The sequence below is a fragment of the Homo sapiens genome, chromosome 3 (assembly GCF_000001405.40).
Source record: "Homo sapiens chromosome 3, GRCh38.p14 Primary Assembly".
In the NCBI taxonomy this organism is placed as follows: Eukaryota; Metazoa; Chordata; class Mammalia; order Primates; family Hominidae; genus Homo; species Homo sapiens.
In genome coordinates this window covers 90,211,086-90,224,743 of record NC_000003.12, presented here as the reverse complement: position 1 = coordinate 90,224,743, position 13,658 = coordinate 90,211,086, and the positions used below count along the sequence as shown (strand labels likewise).

The 13,658-nt window shown below is 36.6% G+C and overlaps 1 pseudogene; it reads left to right on the top strand.

The window, feature by feature from the left end:
• The window catches only part of PROS2P (protein S (beta) pseudogene), a 40,945-nt pseudogene that overhangs the window by 17,321 nt on the left and 9,966 nt on the right, over positions 1 to 13,658 (top strand).

Here is a 13,658-nt window from a genome sequence, read left to right as displayed (position 1 = left end):
TTACCACGTTGCCCAGGGTGATCTCAAACTCCTGACCTCAGGTGATCATCTCAGGTGATCTGCCATAATTGTACTTTAGTTATCAGATTTTCTCAGAAGCATACATTGTTGGAAGTAAAAGAAAGAAATTGGATTTTTTTTTTTGGAATAATGAGAAGGAAAAATACTTGAGACAGATTATACAGTTCAAATTTTAAAATATTTTAATTAAATAAGCATGTGTGTTTAGAATTTAATGTTAGATACATGAATGATTATTCATTAAATAATTCAACTAAATTCATAGACATTATTAAAAACATTGAAAATTATTCTAAGATCAATAACTTACATAAATACTTAAGCAACTGTGCTCCTTCCACACTTTATTTCTCCCAATATGTGGTTTTTTCCTTTAACATCACAGAGCAAGTAATATCTTCTAATGATAGAGATGGGAGAAAACCCTTCCCTGCTATGAGAATAATGAGAATGACAGAAAAATATTTGTTGTAGTAAATAATGCTTTTAGGAATACAATTGATCCTCCAAATCCTTGAGTTCCTCATCTGTGGATTTAACCAACTTCGGGTAGATAATATTCAGAAAAAAACACAATGACAATACAATACACAATAATACAAATAAGACACAATACAGTATGACAACTATTTACATAATATTTACATTGTATTGAGTATTATACATAATGTAGAGATGACTTAAAGTACTTGGGAGGATGTGCATAGGTTATACGTAAACACTATGCCATTTTATATAAGGGACTTGAGCGTCTGTGGATATTGATACCATCCAGAGGTCCTGGAGCCAATCTCCAGGAGTTTGTTCATTTCTCACTGACAATTCACAGTAGTTTGATCTCTAACATGGGATCCGAATTGGACAAATTATTTTTTCCAGAATTTATTATTTATTTATTTTAAACTTTTCATTGAAATATAAAGTATGTATCGAAATGTACACATTAGATTAAATGTACGGCTTGATGAGTTTTAATAAACTGCCCCCTGTGTGACCAACACAAAGAATAGCTAGTGCTTTTATTTATTTTTGCAAATTTCTTTACGTCTGTTGCTCATGATCAAATACTTTCCCTACGTAAATGTCAACAAATTCACTCTATTTTCCACTTTACCATGCTTGTGAAAAAGAATGAATTGTTCCCCATTGTAATGAATCAATATGCTGATGATATATTCCAGAAACAAAATATGCAGAACACGACCCTTTGAAACTATGAATTCAGCCTGATTTTACAAAGTAAAGGAAATTATCTCCATAATAGAATCAACTACTGGAAGATCTTGAGCATACACAGATTTGGATTTTGGCAAGATAATATTGCTTCACATCAGCAAAATGCCCAGATAATTATGAAAGAGGATAGAAGTCCTTATTCCAAGCAAAATTGTTCTTTTTCACATAATCTGAGTTCAGTAAATTCCTACTACATTGTTATCCATCCAACATACTTTACTCCACATTTTACCTCTTTTTAAGTATTTCTTTGGAATTCTAAAGATGAAAACATTCATTTTGTCACCTTTTCTTTGTTCCATTTGAGGGAGATCTGTGCTCCATTGCAAATGGTGCCTCTATTACTATTACTATTATACTATATTGCGGTAAGAATGTGGGATTCTGTCCTGCCTAATTTAGCAATTATCTGAAGTCCAGACTCTTTAACTTAAATTACCTTTATTTTAACTTAGGTGACTAATAGTTACTCACCTATCGTTCCTTTTCCCTGTTTGTCTTTCGTCAATCATTTGGATTTGCTAGTCCCTTGGAAACTTCAATGCTGATTCTCATTGAAGTGTTTTAAGGATGCTGAATCAACACATGTCATTTTAAGTCCTGCATCCTAAGACTTTTCACCCATTGTAATAGCTACATGTATATCTAGAGTCTTAATAGCAACAGATGTTGCCAGCACTCATGGGTAGACTATGTCTTTTAAGTTTTCCTTATGTGTATTCTACTACAGTGACTTATGCAATTAGAGTTTTAGGAAAGCTAATAGATGTATTTTAAGTTTTTAAATTTTACCTTTCTTACCACATGTGAAGGCTTAATGATGTCTGCAGTCATCCATATGCCATCTTGTAGATCTCCAAGAGTGATTCCTGACATGTGAAATTATAGGGAAAATATGGCTTTTGATGAATAAACCAACAATGAAATTGTAGCACATTTTATGATCACTTATGGATATAGCAAAAACAAAAACAAACAAAAAACTACCACTTCTTAATGTCAGATTATGTAGTGTATAAAAGGCTCCAGGAGAGATATAGTATGCCTGATACTTATACCTGTGTATTAATTCCAGCATTTGGAAAGTGCTTTCAAAACATATGCCAAAGAAAGATGACAAATTACCAAAGCATCTGTTCCCTGGGGAAAAAATTGCAAGAATAAGCAACAAAATATAATAACTTAATTTTAAACATACATGGAGCCAGAGATAATACATGAGCAGCTTAATTCTGCCCTTCTCTTTAATTAATTCGAGAAACAGAAAAAAATAATTGACTCTTTGTCTGTGTTACCATTTGTCAGTACAAGAAAAAAAGAATAATGCATTGAGCCTTCTGTATTTCTCACTGTTAAGGATCTCTCTTTGTCCATTGTTTAGATTTTCAGCAGAATTTCATTTCTGGACATATGATTCAGAAGGCATGATACTGTAAGCAGAATCTGTCAATCACTCAGCATGGCTCCTGATTGCACTTCGTGGTGGAAAGATTGAAGTTCAGCTTAAGAATGAACATACATCCAAAATCACAACTGGAGGTGACGTTATTAATAATGGTCTATGGAATGGTACGTTTGCAGATTTTATCAATATTTTCCCACTTTGATGCAGTTTGTATAAAATCATAATTTATTTTTATAGAGATACCAAACCAAAATGGATTTGGAGTTATCTGATTCTATATGAGGTATATTCTACATACTGTAAATCCCTGAAACATCCTGAGAAATAATATTCTCACTTAATATATTAGAATCATTGTTTTTAGTTATTTGCTTGAACTACTCTGTCTTTAACTTTTTACCTTTTTTAGTGGCTGTTTGGCGAACAGTGGTGTTAGGGATTATTAGGCAGCCTAAATTTTTTTTTTTTTTTTGAGATGGGGTTTTGCTCTTGTTGCCCAGGCTGGAGTGCAGCGGCGCGATCTCAACTCACTGCAACCTCCACCTCCCGGGTTCAAGCGATTCTCCTGTTTCGGCCTCCCGAGTAGCTGGGATTACAGGCATGTGCCACCACGCCCAGCTAATTTTGTGTTTTTAGTAGAGATGGGGTTTCTCCATGTTGGTCCAGCTGGTCTCGAGCTCCTGACCTCAGGTGATCCTCTCATCTTGGCCTCCCAAAGTCCTGAGATTATGGATGTGAGCCACCACACCTAGCCTTTCTTTTCTTTTTTTTTTTTTTTTTTTTTGAGACAGACTCTCATTCTGTTGCCCAGGCTAGAGTGCTGTGGCATGGTCTTGGCTCACTGCAACCTCCACCTATGGGTTCAAGAGATTCTTGTGCCTCAGCCTCCTGAGTAGCTGGGATTACAGGTATGCAACAGCATACCTGGCTAATTTTTGTAATTTTAGTAGAGACAGGTTTCACCATGTTGGCCAGGCTGGTCTCAAACTCCTGGCCTCAAGCTATTCACCAACTTCAGCCTCCCAAAGTGCTGGGATTACAAAAGTGAGCAACCACACCCGGCTGGCATAACAATTTATGCAAAGATACCACTGATCAAAGAAAACTCTCCTCAATTGCCAATAATTTTTTTAAATTAAGGAGAAATAAACATAGTAACAAATTCAAAAAGGTAATTCAAATTCAAATATAAGCAGATAGATAAGTAATCCTTTAAAAAAAATAGACACAGGGTCTTGCTGTGTTGCCCAGGCTGGTCTTGAACTCAAGGAATCCTCCTCCCATTTTGGCTTCCCAAAGTGCTGGGATTACAGGCATAAGCCATTGTAGCAGACCTAGTAGTCAGTTTTTGTGAAAGCGATATACAGTAGCAGGTACCAGTGTGCTTAGAAATTAGCATTTTAGGCTGGGTGCAGTAGCTCACACCTGTAATCCCAGCTCTTTAGGAGGCCAAGGCAGGTGGATCACCTGAGGTCAGGAGTTTGAGAGCAGCCTGATCAACATGGCAGAACCCCATCTCTACTAAAAATACAAAAATTAGTCAGGCTTGGTGGCACACACCTGCAATCCCAGCAGGAGAGTCGCTTAAACCCGGAAGGCTGAGGTTGCAGTGAGCCATGATCGTGTCTCTGCACTCCAGCCTGGATGATAAAGCAAGAATCTGTCTCAAAAAAAAAAAAGAAAGAAAGAAAAGAAATTAGCATTTTAATTTAATCCTACATATAGCCTTTATTCTAATGATCAAGAATAGCACTTTAATCAACTGGATTAAAGTGGGACTTTTCTGAAGGGATTACTGCTAGTTGATAGTGGGGAGAAGTCTTTTCTGAAGTACAGAGTCATTGCTGCCATCAGCAGAGGATAGTGGAGAGAAAATTGGCTTCACCTTAGAATGTGGTGCACAAAAGAGACATCTTTTATGCCTAGAGGAGCTGGCAAGAAGTTTTTGCTGATGTCAATTTATTTATTTATGTTATTTATTTATTTATCATCACTATAATTATTATTATTATTATTATTATTATTATTATTTTGAGACAGAGTCTTGCTCTGTCGCCCAGGCTGGAGTGCAGTGGCATGATCTCTGCTCACTGCAACTTCCACCTCCCGGGTTCAGGTGATTCTCTTGTCTCAGCCTCTCGAGTAGCTGGGACTATTGGTGCCTGACACCATGCCCGGGTAGTTTTTGTATTTTCAGTAGAGATGGGTTTCACCATGTTGGCCAGGATGGTCCCGAACTACTGACCTCAGGTGATCAGCTCTCCTCAGCCTCCCAAAGTGCAGGGATTACAGGTGTGAGCCACTGCACCCAGACAAGAAGTTTGTATTGAGAAGTCATGTGAGGTCATCACTAAATTATTTTGGTCCTTCTTTTATGCAGACATGCACTCATTTATTCAATAAGCTTTTAGTGAGTGCTTTTGCTACTAAGTTCCTGAGTTCAAGGCATTAGAACGATAGTATATCAGGAGAACCTGCCTCAAATATTTCAGCGTAGGTTCTTTCTATTTTCCATAAGTGTCAGCTGGCTGAGAAATAAAGAGAAAGAGTACAAAGAGAGGAATTTTACAGCTGGGCCTCTGGGGGTGACATCAGATATCAGTAGGACTGTGATGCCCACCTGAGCCACAAAACCAGCAAGTTTTTATTAAGGATTTCAAAAGGGGGGGTGTGTAATAACAGGGAGTAGGTCACAAAGATCACATGCTTCAAAGTGCAAAAAGGAGAACAAAGATCACATGCTTCTGAGGAAACAGGACAAGGGCAAAATCAGAAACTACTGATAAAGAGTCCAACAAAGATCACAAGGCAAAGGGCAAAAGCAGAATTATTGATAAGGGTCTATGTTCAGCGGTGCATGTATTGTCTTGATAAACATCTTAAACAACAGAAAACAGGTTTTGAGAGCAGAGAACTGATCTGACCTCAAATTTACCAGGATGGGTTTTTTCCCCACCCTAGTAAGCCTGAGGGTACTGCAGGAGACCAGGGCGTATTTCAGTCCTTTTCTCAACTGCATAAGACAGACTCTCGCAGAGCAGCCATTTATAGACCTCCCCCAGGGAATGCATTCCTTCCCCAGGGTATTAATTATTAATATTCCTTGCCAGGAAAAGAATTCAGCAATATCTTCCCTACTTGCACGTCTGTTTATAGGCTCTCTGAAAGAAGAAAAATATGGCTGTATTTTGCCCAACCCCACAGGCAGCCAGACCTTATGGTTGTCTTCCCTTGTTCCCTAAAATCGCTGTTATTCTGTTCTTTTTCAAGGTTCACTAATTTCATATTGTTCAAACACACGTTTTACAATCAATTTGTACAGTTAACACAGTTGTGGTCCTGAGGTGACACAGATCCTCAGCTTACGAAGATAAGATAAGGATTAAGACATTAAAGTAAGACAGGTGTAAGAAATTATAAGAGTATTATTTGGGAACTGATAAATATCCATGAAATCTTCACAATTTATGTTCCTCTGCCGCGGCTCCATCCAGTTCCTCCATTTGGGGTCCCTAAATTCCCGCAACAATAGCAGGAGATTTTCCTCACTCTAGAGCTTAGTACCTCACAGATAAGTAGCTGGTGCTTCTTTGGGAAATAATATAATGTAACGTGAAATATATTACAGTAGAGGTATGAACAAAGCACACTTGGGCAAACGTGGTGAATTTATAAATGATTACATCTTATCTTTGATTATGAGTCTAATATTAACAGGAATTTTAATTGTAAATGTATCATAATTCATTCAGCAAAATATTTATTGGCACTTCTATGTGCTAATCCTTACTCTAGGTGGTAAAGATACAACAGCAAATAAAAAGAAGTCAGTGCTCTTATGGAGCTTGCATTCTAATGGTGAGATGCAAACAACAAATGCATGAAAAAATAAATATGCCAGATAGTTATTCATGTTATAAGGAAAAAGAAAAACCAGGCAAAGACATAGAGAGTGATGGTGGTTAGTATGCATATAGAATCAGGAAAGGCATCTCTGATGAGATTAGATCTGAGCTGAGACTTGAGAGCACATGTCATGAGAAATACATGAGGGAATATAAAATGATTCTGTACCATGTGAACAGCAAGTACAGAATTTCTTGGAATAGGATATGTTTGGTATTTGAGGAATAATACAAAGAGTAATGTAGCAGCAGGGGAGAGTAGTTAGTTAGAAAATGAGGTTAGAAACGTGGTCTAGAATAAGATCATCTAGGGCCTTGGGGGCTATGATGAGGATGTGGATTTTATGCTAAATGGACAAGCCCTGGATGGTTTTGAGAAGGGACATGATCTAGTTTGCATTTTAAAAGATAATCCCGATCAGAAGCTGATGGCTTTGTGGAAACCAGAATGAGAGTAGAACAGGATATGGAGTTAGGAGACTGTTGGAATAACCCAGCGGAGAGAAGATGACAGCTTTGACTGGTGTGCTGATGGTAAGAGTGGTAAGAAGTGGTCAGATTCTGGATATATTTTTAAAGTTAAGCGTTCAATTCAAATTTTTGAATACTCAGCATAAAGAGGGGTTTTAAGGCCATGAAACTGTTTGTGTTGACCAGTGGTTCCAAACACTATCTCATCCAATGTCTGAAAATATATAATGCTCCTTTACTATTCTATAACGAAATGTATCAATAATGTAAACTACCTTCACATATACCCAATCAAAACCAATCTAATGCTCTCATTATTATATTAATATGGATAAATAAAAGGACGGTAATTTAGAAGAAAATAATATGTATTTCAATATGTACGTAGTCAACTATAACGACAACACTAGTCAAAGCTTGCTTCTATGCATAAAGCAAAAGCTACAAATGAAGACTAATGCTGGGGAGTTATATTAGCAACTCAAATACCATTAAGTGCATACATGGTGTTGCCATTGGTAATATTAACTTCCCAAAGTGGTGAGAAGTTCCTGGTAAAGATATTAACAAAACAAATATCAATCTATTCTTAGTTTTCAAGATTATTACATTCTTGAAAAATGTAATGAATGCTAAAATAGTGCAGCAAATATTTTGTGTCTATGTATGTACAAACTCAGATGATTGTAAGCATGAATATTACCTACATGAATACCTAGCAGGGGTGTTCAAAAGATTTTAAGAATACTTGATATTTTATTTTTAGTTCTGCATTACTTATTATTATTAATTCTGCATGACTAGCCTATGTACATAATGCAGATTGTCTATCATCTTGCAATGCCAGCATGGCCCCTACTCATTGTGACAAATAAAAGTGTTCCTCACCTCCAAATTTTCCAAATGCCCTGGAGTGGAATCATGGTGTCTCACTTAAAATACTTGCATGGCTACAGGAAAAAGATCTGGGGCCTGAGCTGTGGGAAGGGGAAGATCCAGCAAAGGAGACTGAGAAGTAGTGGTTAGAGTGTAGAAAGAGAAGCAAGCAGGGTCAGGTGTTGTAGGCTAAGTTAAGAAAGTCTGTAAAGGAGAGAATAGTTATTCACATGCTGCTAATTGGCTATATTAAAGAAGGAGTGTTGACCAACTTTAAATTTGTGTTTCTAAATTTATTTTATGTTGGAGGATAGTTTTTCCTTTCCTATCATGGTGTTTTAATATGCTTATTGTTTGGCTTATATCATTGGTTAGTGAGTGAAGAGTTTGCTCTTTGAGTGCTATAGTTTTACTTGAAGCGATTGCAGCAGTGGTTCTTCAAATTGTCTTTGTGGAAGGAATTTTTATTGTTGTTTATCCTTACTTGAAACCTTTTTTAAAAACCCAAACAACTCTCAAAATTGGGAAACTCCAATTTATGTATTTTTTTCTTATTGCCTCAATCATTTTTGAATTTTAAAGAAAGAATAATTTGTGTGCAATTAACAGAATACTGAACATATTGATTTTTCTTACTTTATATTAAGAACTGATTTACACTGTTGATTCCATATGTGTATTATCAGACAATTGCAAAATAAGACCACTTAAATTTTTCCTAAGATAAAATGGCTCACTTAACTGTTAATTTTCTAGCAGCCGGGAATTGAAAGATGTATAACGGGATGTTTAAGCTTAACAGAATAGTATTTTTTTTAACTTTAAAATATGGTACACTCTTAAATTTTGATCAAGTACTGCCAATATAGGGTGCTGCCACCCTAAATGCCTTTTTATCACATTTATCATAATTTGACATTCCAAATGAGTTGTAGCAAATTAATAATTACATTAAAATGATTACAGAAGTATTTTATTGGAATAATAACATAATTTTTAGATCCCAGTATTTCAAATGACACGTAGTAATGCTTGGTTATTTGGTAAGTTTTCTTTTTAATTGTAGGTGTCTGTGGAAGAATTAGAACATAGTATTAACATTAAAATAGCTAAAGAAGCTGTGATGGATATAAATAAACCTGGACCCCTTTTTAAGCCTGAAAATGGATTGCTGGAAACCAAAGTATACTTTGCAGGATTCCCTCAGAAAGTGGAAAGTGAACTCATTAAACCGGTAATTATCCAAGCTTGTATCATTCATCATGGATGAGTTCCTTTTGTCTATAATAGATTTGAATATGTGTTTTTCTGAGAGTCAATAGAAGTTGTTTTGTTAAGCATACTAAATGTGACGACTTGAAATGATCATGGAAGAATAACATTAGTAACCCTTGAAATTATATTAATGAAATAAAAAAATGATGTAGTGGTTTTGTGCCCATTTAAATCCTCAGCATAAATCATGAAGTGGATTTCTAAAATTCTCAAATTAACACTTGAGAATGTTAATACTACAGTTCAGTGTTAACATCATGATAATCCATACTCAGTCATTAAACATATAAATTCATATATTTAAGTCCAAAATTATGCTATTTTGTAAAAGCCAGTCAGAGGACTTTCTCAAGTCTATTTTTAGGACTTAAATGCAAGAGCTAAAGAATAGCACATAAGGTGAAATTTATTGTTTAAAAAATACCTCTTTACTGAGGGTACAACTATAGCCTGTCACAAATTGAAATTAGATATAATACATGTTTTTCTAAATATAATATTTAATAGCTATAGAATAGGTTTCATGAAAGAGACTAACCACTAACTCTTCAAAGAATTTTAAAAATTTCATTTGAAGTCACAGCCCTGCCAGATACACTTGTTGATTAACTTAAATATTTACTATCTTATATCCGTCTTTCATTCCTGGCAATTCGTAGTTACTTTAACTTTTAAAAGATTTCTATTATATGATATTAAGCTTGAATTAATTAACCCATGTTGACATGAGTATACCTGTTGTTTGAAACTGAGAAATTAATACACTTTAAAAGTAAAATAAATTATTCAAAAAGTATCAATCATTTATGAAATGGCTTTTACATGTCTTGAGCCTGGCAGCATGCTTGATGGAGGCTAAAGAATGCAAACACTTTTGTGTCTGAAGAGACTTAGAGTCTGATTGGCAAGACAAACCCATATTATAAATGCCACTAAATAAAAACAAGACCAGGCACGGTGGCTCACACCTGTAATCCCAGCACTTTGGGAGGCCGAGGCGGGTGGATCACCTGAGGTCAGGAGTTCAAGACCAGCCTGGCCAATGTAGCAAAACCCCGTCTCTACTAAAAGTACAAAAATTAGCCAGGCGTGGTGGTGGGCACCTGTAATCCCAGCTACTCAGGAGGCTGAGGCAGGAGAATCGCTTGAACCAGGGAGGCAGAGGTTGCAGTGAGCCAAGATCCTGCCACTGCACTCCAGCAAGACCCCGTCTCAATCAAACAAACAAAGAAGATAAACAAGACATCTTAGAGACCAGGGCCACAGCTAGAAGCAAATATAGAACTTGAAAGCAGAAAAGTTACCACTGGATGATGTAGGAGAGGCAGGTGGGGCTTGAAGTGTTAAAAATCATTAAGATCCGCTGAGGGCTTGTGATAGTATAAGCTCGCTTGTACTGAAAAAGACTGTCCATCTGAAGAATACTTTGAAAAGGAAAACTTAAATAAAATTCAAAATATTTTCAACTATTATCAAAGAAAGGATTTTTTTCTCTTAATGAAAACCTATACTCAAAATCAAGCCACTGTTTAAGTTTAAAATGCACTCCTTGACTTATATTTTAATTTGTTAGATTAACCCTTGTCTAGACGGATGTATATGAGGCTGGAATTTGATGAAGCAAGGAGCTTCTGGAATAAAGGAAATTATTCAAGAAAAACAAAATAAGCACTGCCTGGTTACTGTGGAGAAGGGCTCCTACTATCCTGGTTTTGGAATTGCTCAATTTCGCGTAGATTATAGTAAGTGATTTTCCATTTATCTCTATTTTCTCATTAATGAGTAAATTTATTCATCAACAAACAGTAATAATTTGTGAAACATTACTATCTACTGTGTGCCCACTCTAGTCTTATGCTTATTCATACTATTATATAACTTTTACAAAAATTTTTCAGTGTATTGGGAAAAATATAAAGGCATTTGAATGTGCTCGTGTTGTTATTTCAGGTTTATCGGTAGGTAGCCTGATTCCTTTTGGGTAAATTCAATTGACTTATTTTAAAGTTCACTGATTTCTCACTTGTATAGAGTCTACCAATGAATGCATCAGAAAGATTCATCTTAATTTCTAGCATTTCTATTTGATGCTTCCTTAAAATTTCTACCTCCCTGTTGAAATTCCCTATCTGTTCACACTTGTCCAGAATGGGTACTGAGCTTTCAATGTATTCATCATAATTATTTTAAATTCCCTGTCTCATAGTTCCAGCTGTGTCATATCTGGGTCTGGTCATTTTGTCTGCTTTGTCCCTTGACCAAGTGTTGTTTTTCTTGCATCTTTGTGTATCATGTAATTTTTGGTTTAGATTTGGGCATCTTACGTATAACAGTAGAGACTGAGATGAAGAATATTTGTGTCTGGAAATGAGCACACTTCTTTTGCTAGGCTGTTAGTAACAGGATTGAATCAATCTAGTGAAAAGCTGAGCTTCTTAAGTTTTGTTGGTGCCAGGATTACCCTTAACGCACCACACGTTTCAGATCTTTCATTTTGTTTTGTTTTGTTTATGAGATGGAGTCTCACTCTGTCACCCAGGCTGGAGTGCAGTGGCACGATCTTGACTCACTGCAGCCTCTGCCTCCTGAATTCAAGTGATTCTTCTGCCTCAGTCTCCTGAGTAGCTGGGACTACAGGCAACCACCACCACGCCTGGCTAATTTTTGTATTTTTGTATTTTTGGCCAGGCTGGTTTTGAACTCCTGATCTCATGATCCACCTGCTTTGGCCTCCCAAAGTGCTGGGATTACAGATGTGAGCCATTGCACCCAGCCTCAGATTTTTTAAATACAACCTTCTGCTTAAAATAAGGGAATGGTTTGCTAGGAAGTTTTTCTTTTTCTTTTCTTTCTTTTCTTTTCTTTTCTTTTTTTTTTTTTTTTTTTTGAGACCGAGTCTCACTCTGTTGCCCAGGCTGCAGTGCAGTGCCACAATCTAGGCTCACTGCAACCTCCACCTCACAGGTTCAAGTGATTCTCATGCCTCAGCCTCCTGAGTAACTGGAATTATAAGGGTGCACCACCATGCCCTGCTAATTTTTGTATTTTTGACGGGGTTTTGCCATGTTGGCCAGGCTGGTTTCAAAAACTCCCGACCTCAGGTGATCTGCCTGCCTCAGCCTCTCCAAGTGCTGATATTACAGGCTTGAGCCACCGTGATTGGCCTAGAGAGTTTTTCATCCTAGCAGCTCAGTTTTATGTATTCCCTCCATAATATGCCTCAAGAAAATGTCTCTCCCACTTGTGTCTCTCAAGTGTCTTGCCCACCCCCAGCAGAGTGCTCTTGTTACTTGACTTTTGCTAACATGGCAGAGAAGATGCAGAGGTTGGGGAAGCATTCTATGTTGTTCTCATACAAATTCAGTCTTAGGCAGGTGTTGTATCCCTGGGTCTCAGGAGTGTGGAATTTTCACTGTTCCTCTTCCCTGACTCTCATCAGTAGGGGAGATGTCTAATGATCAGGACTCAAGATGGTTTCTTGCTCCTTCTCCATGATAGATAGCTTTGTTTGTTCTTCCTAATCTGTAGTTGCAATGAGTCTTCATATGTGTCCTAATGACAAAGTTTGCTGCCTTTCTCCTGGGTTCAAAACTTGTGTTGTGTAGAGGAGACTGAGAAGGATCTAGGTGGGGCTCTGTGGATTCCCTGTAGCAGGTGCTGCTTTCAGGACCATATTAAGAGAGAGACTTTCTCAGGTCTCCTTCCCTGCACTCTGTTTTCTCTTGAGTGCACAGTAATCTGTGGAGAAGAGCCTGTGAATGAGCATGAATTGTCTTTGTGTCTGTAGTTTCTAGGGCTTCTAAACTCTTACATCAGCCCCCACATGGAGTTCACCAATTTGCTTAAATCTTTACCTAAATTATTTTTACCAAATTGCATGGCATCTCCTGTCTGCCCTGGGTTAGAAAGTGTTCTCATTCTGGTTGTCCTTGGAAACACCTGTCTTTCTTTAGGTTTCTGGTTAGTTGTTTGTTGCTCTGTGACCTCAGCTCTTTGATAGTTCCAAGAAAAGTCGTGATTATGCAAATAATTTGGCTTTTGTTGTTGTAAGGGTGGGAGTGGTGCTCTTTCCAATTTTCTACAGCCTAAGTGGAGCAGGGAGTCTTGCCACACTGACCCTATGGTTTTAACCTTATAAATAATACTTCCGTGAACATCCTAAAACATACATCCTTCTACCTTTATGTGATTAATTCTATGGAAGTAAATTTTAGAATTAGGTTATTTCTATCAAAGGTTATGCAAATATATAATTATTAGAGGTTCAATTACATTCTTTTCCAAAAATCTTTTATCAATTAATATTTCTACCAACAGAATGAGAAAGTGTATGCTTTAGCTTTTTTCCAATCTGATAGTTTAAAAATTAAATTTTGTAGGTTTGAATATTAATATTATTTCCCTAATTTCTACTGAACTTGAATAACCTCCCATATGTTTATTAGCTATTTATATATTCTAATTATTTT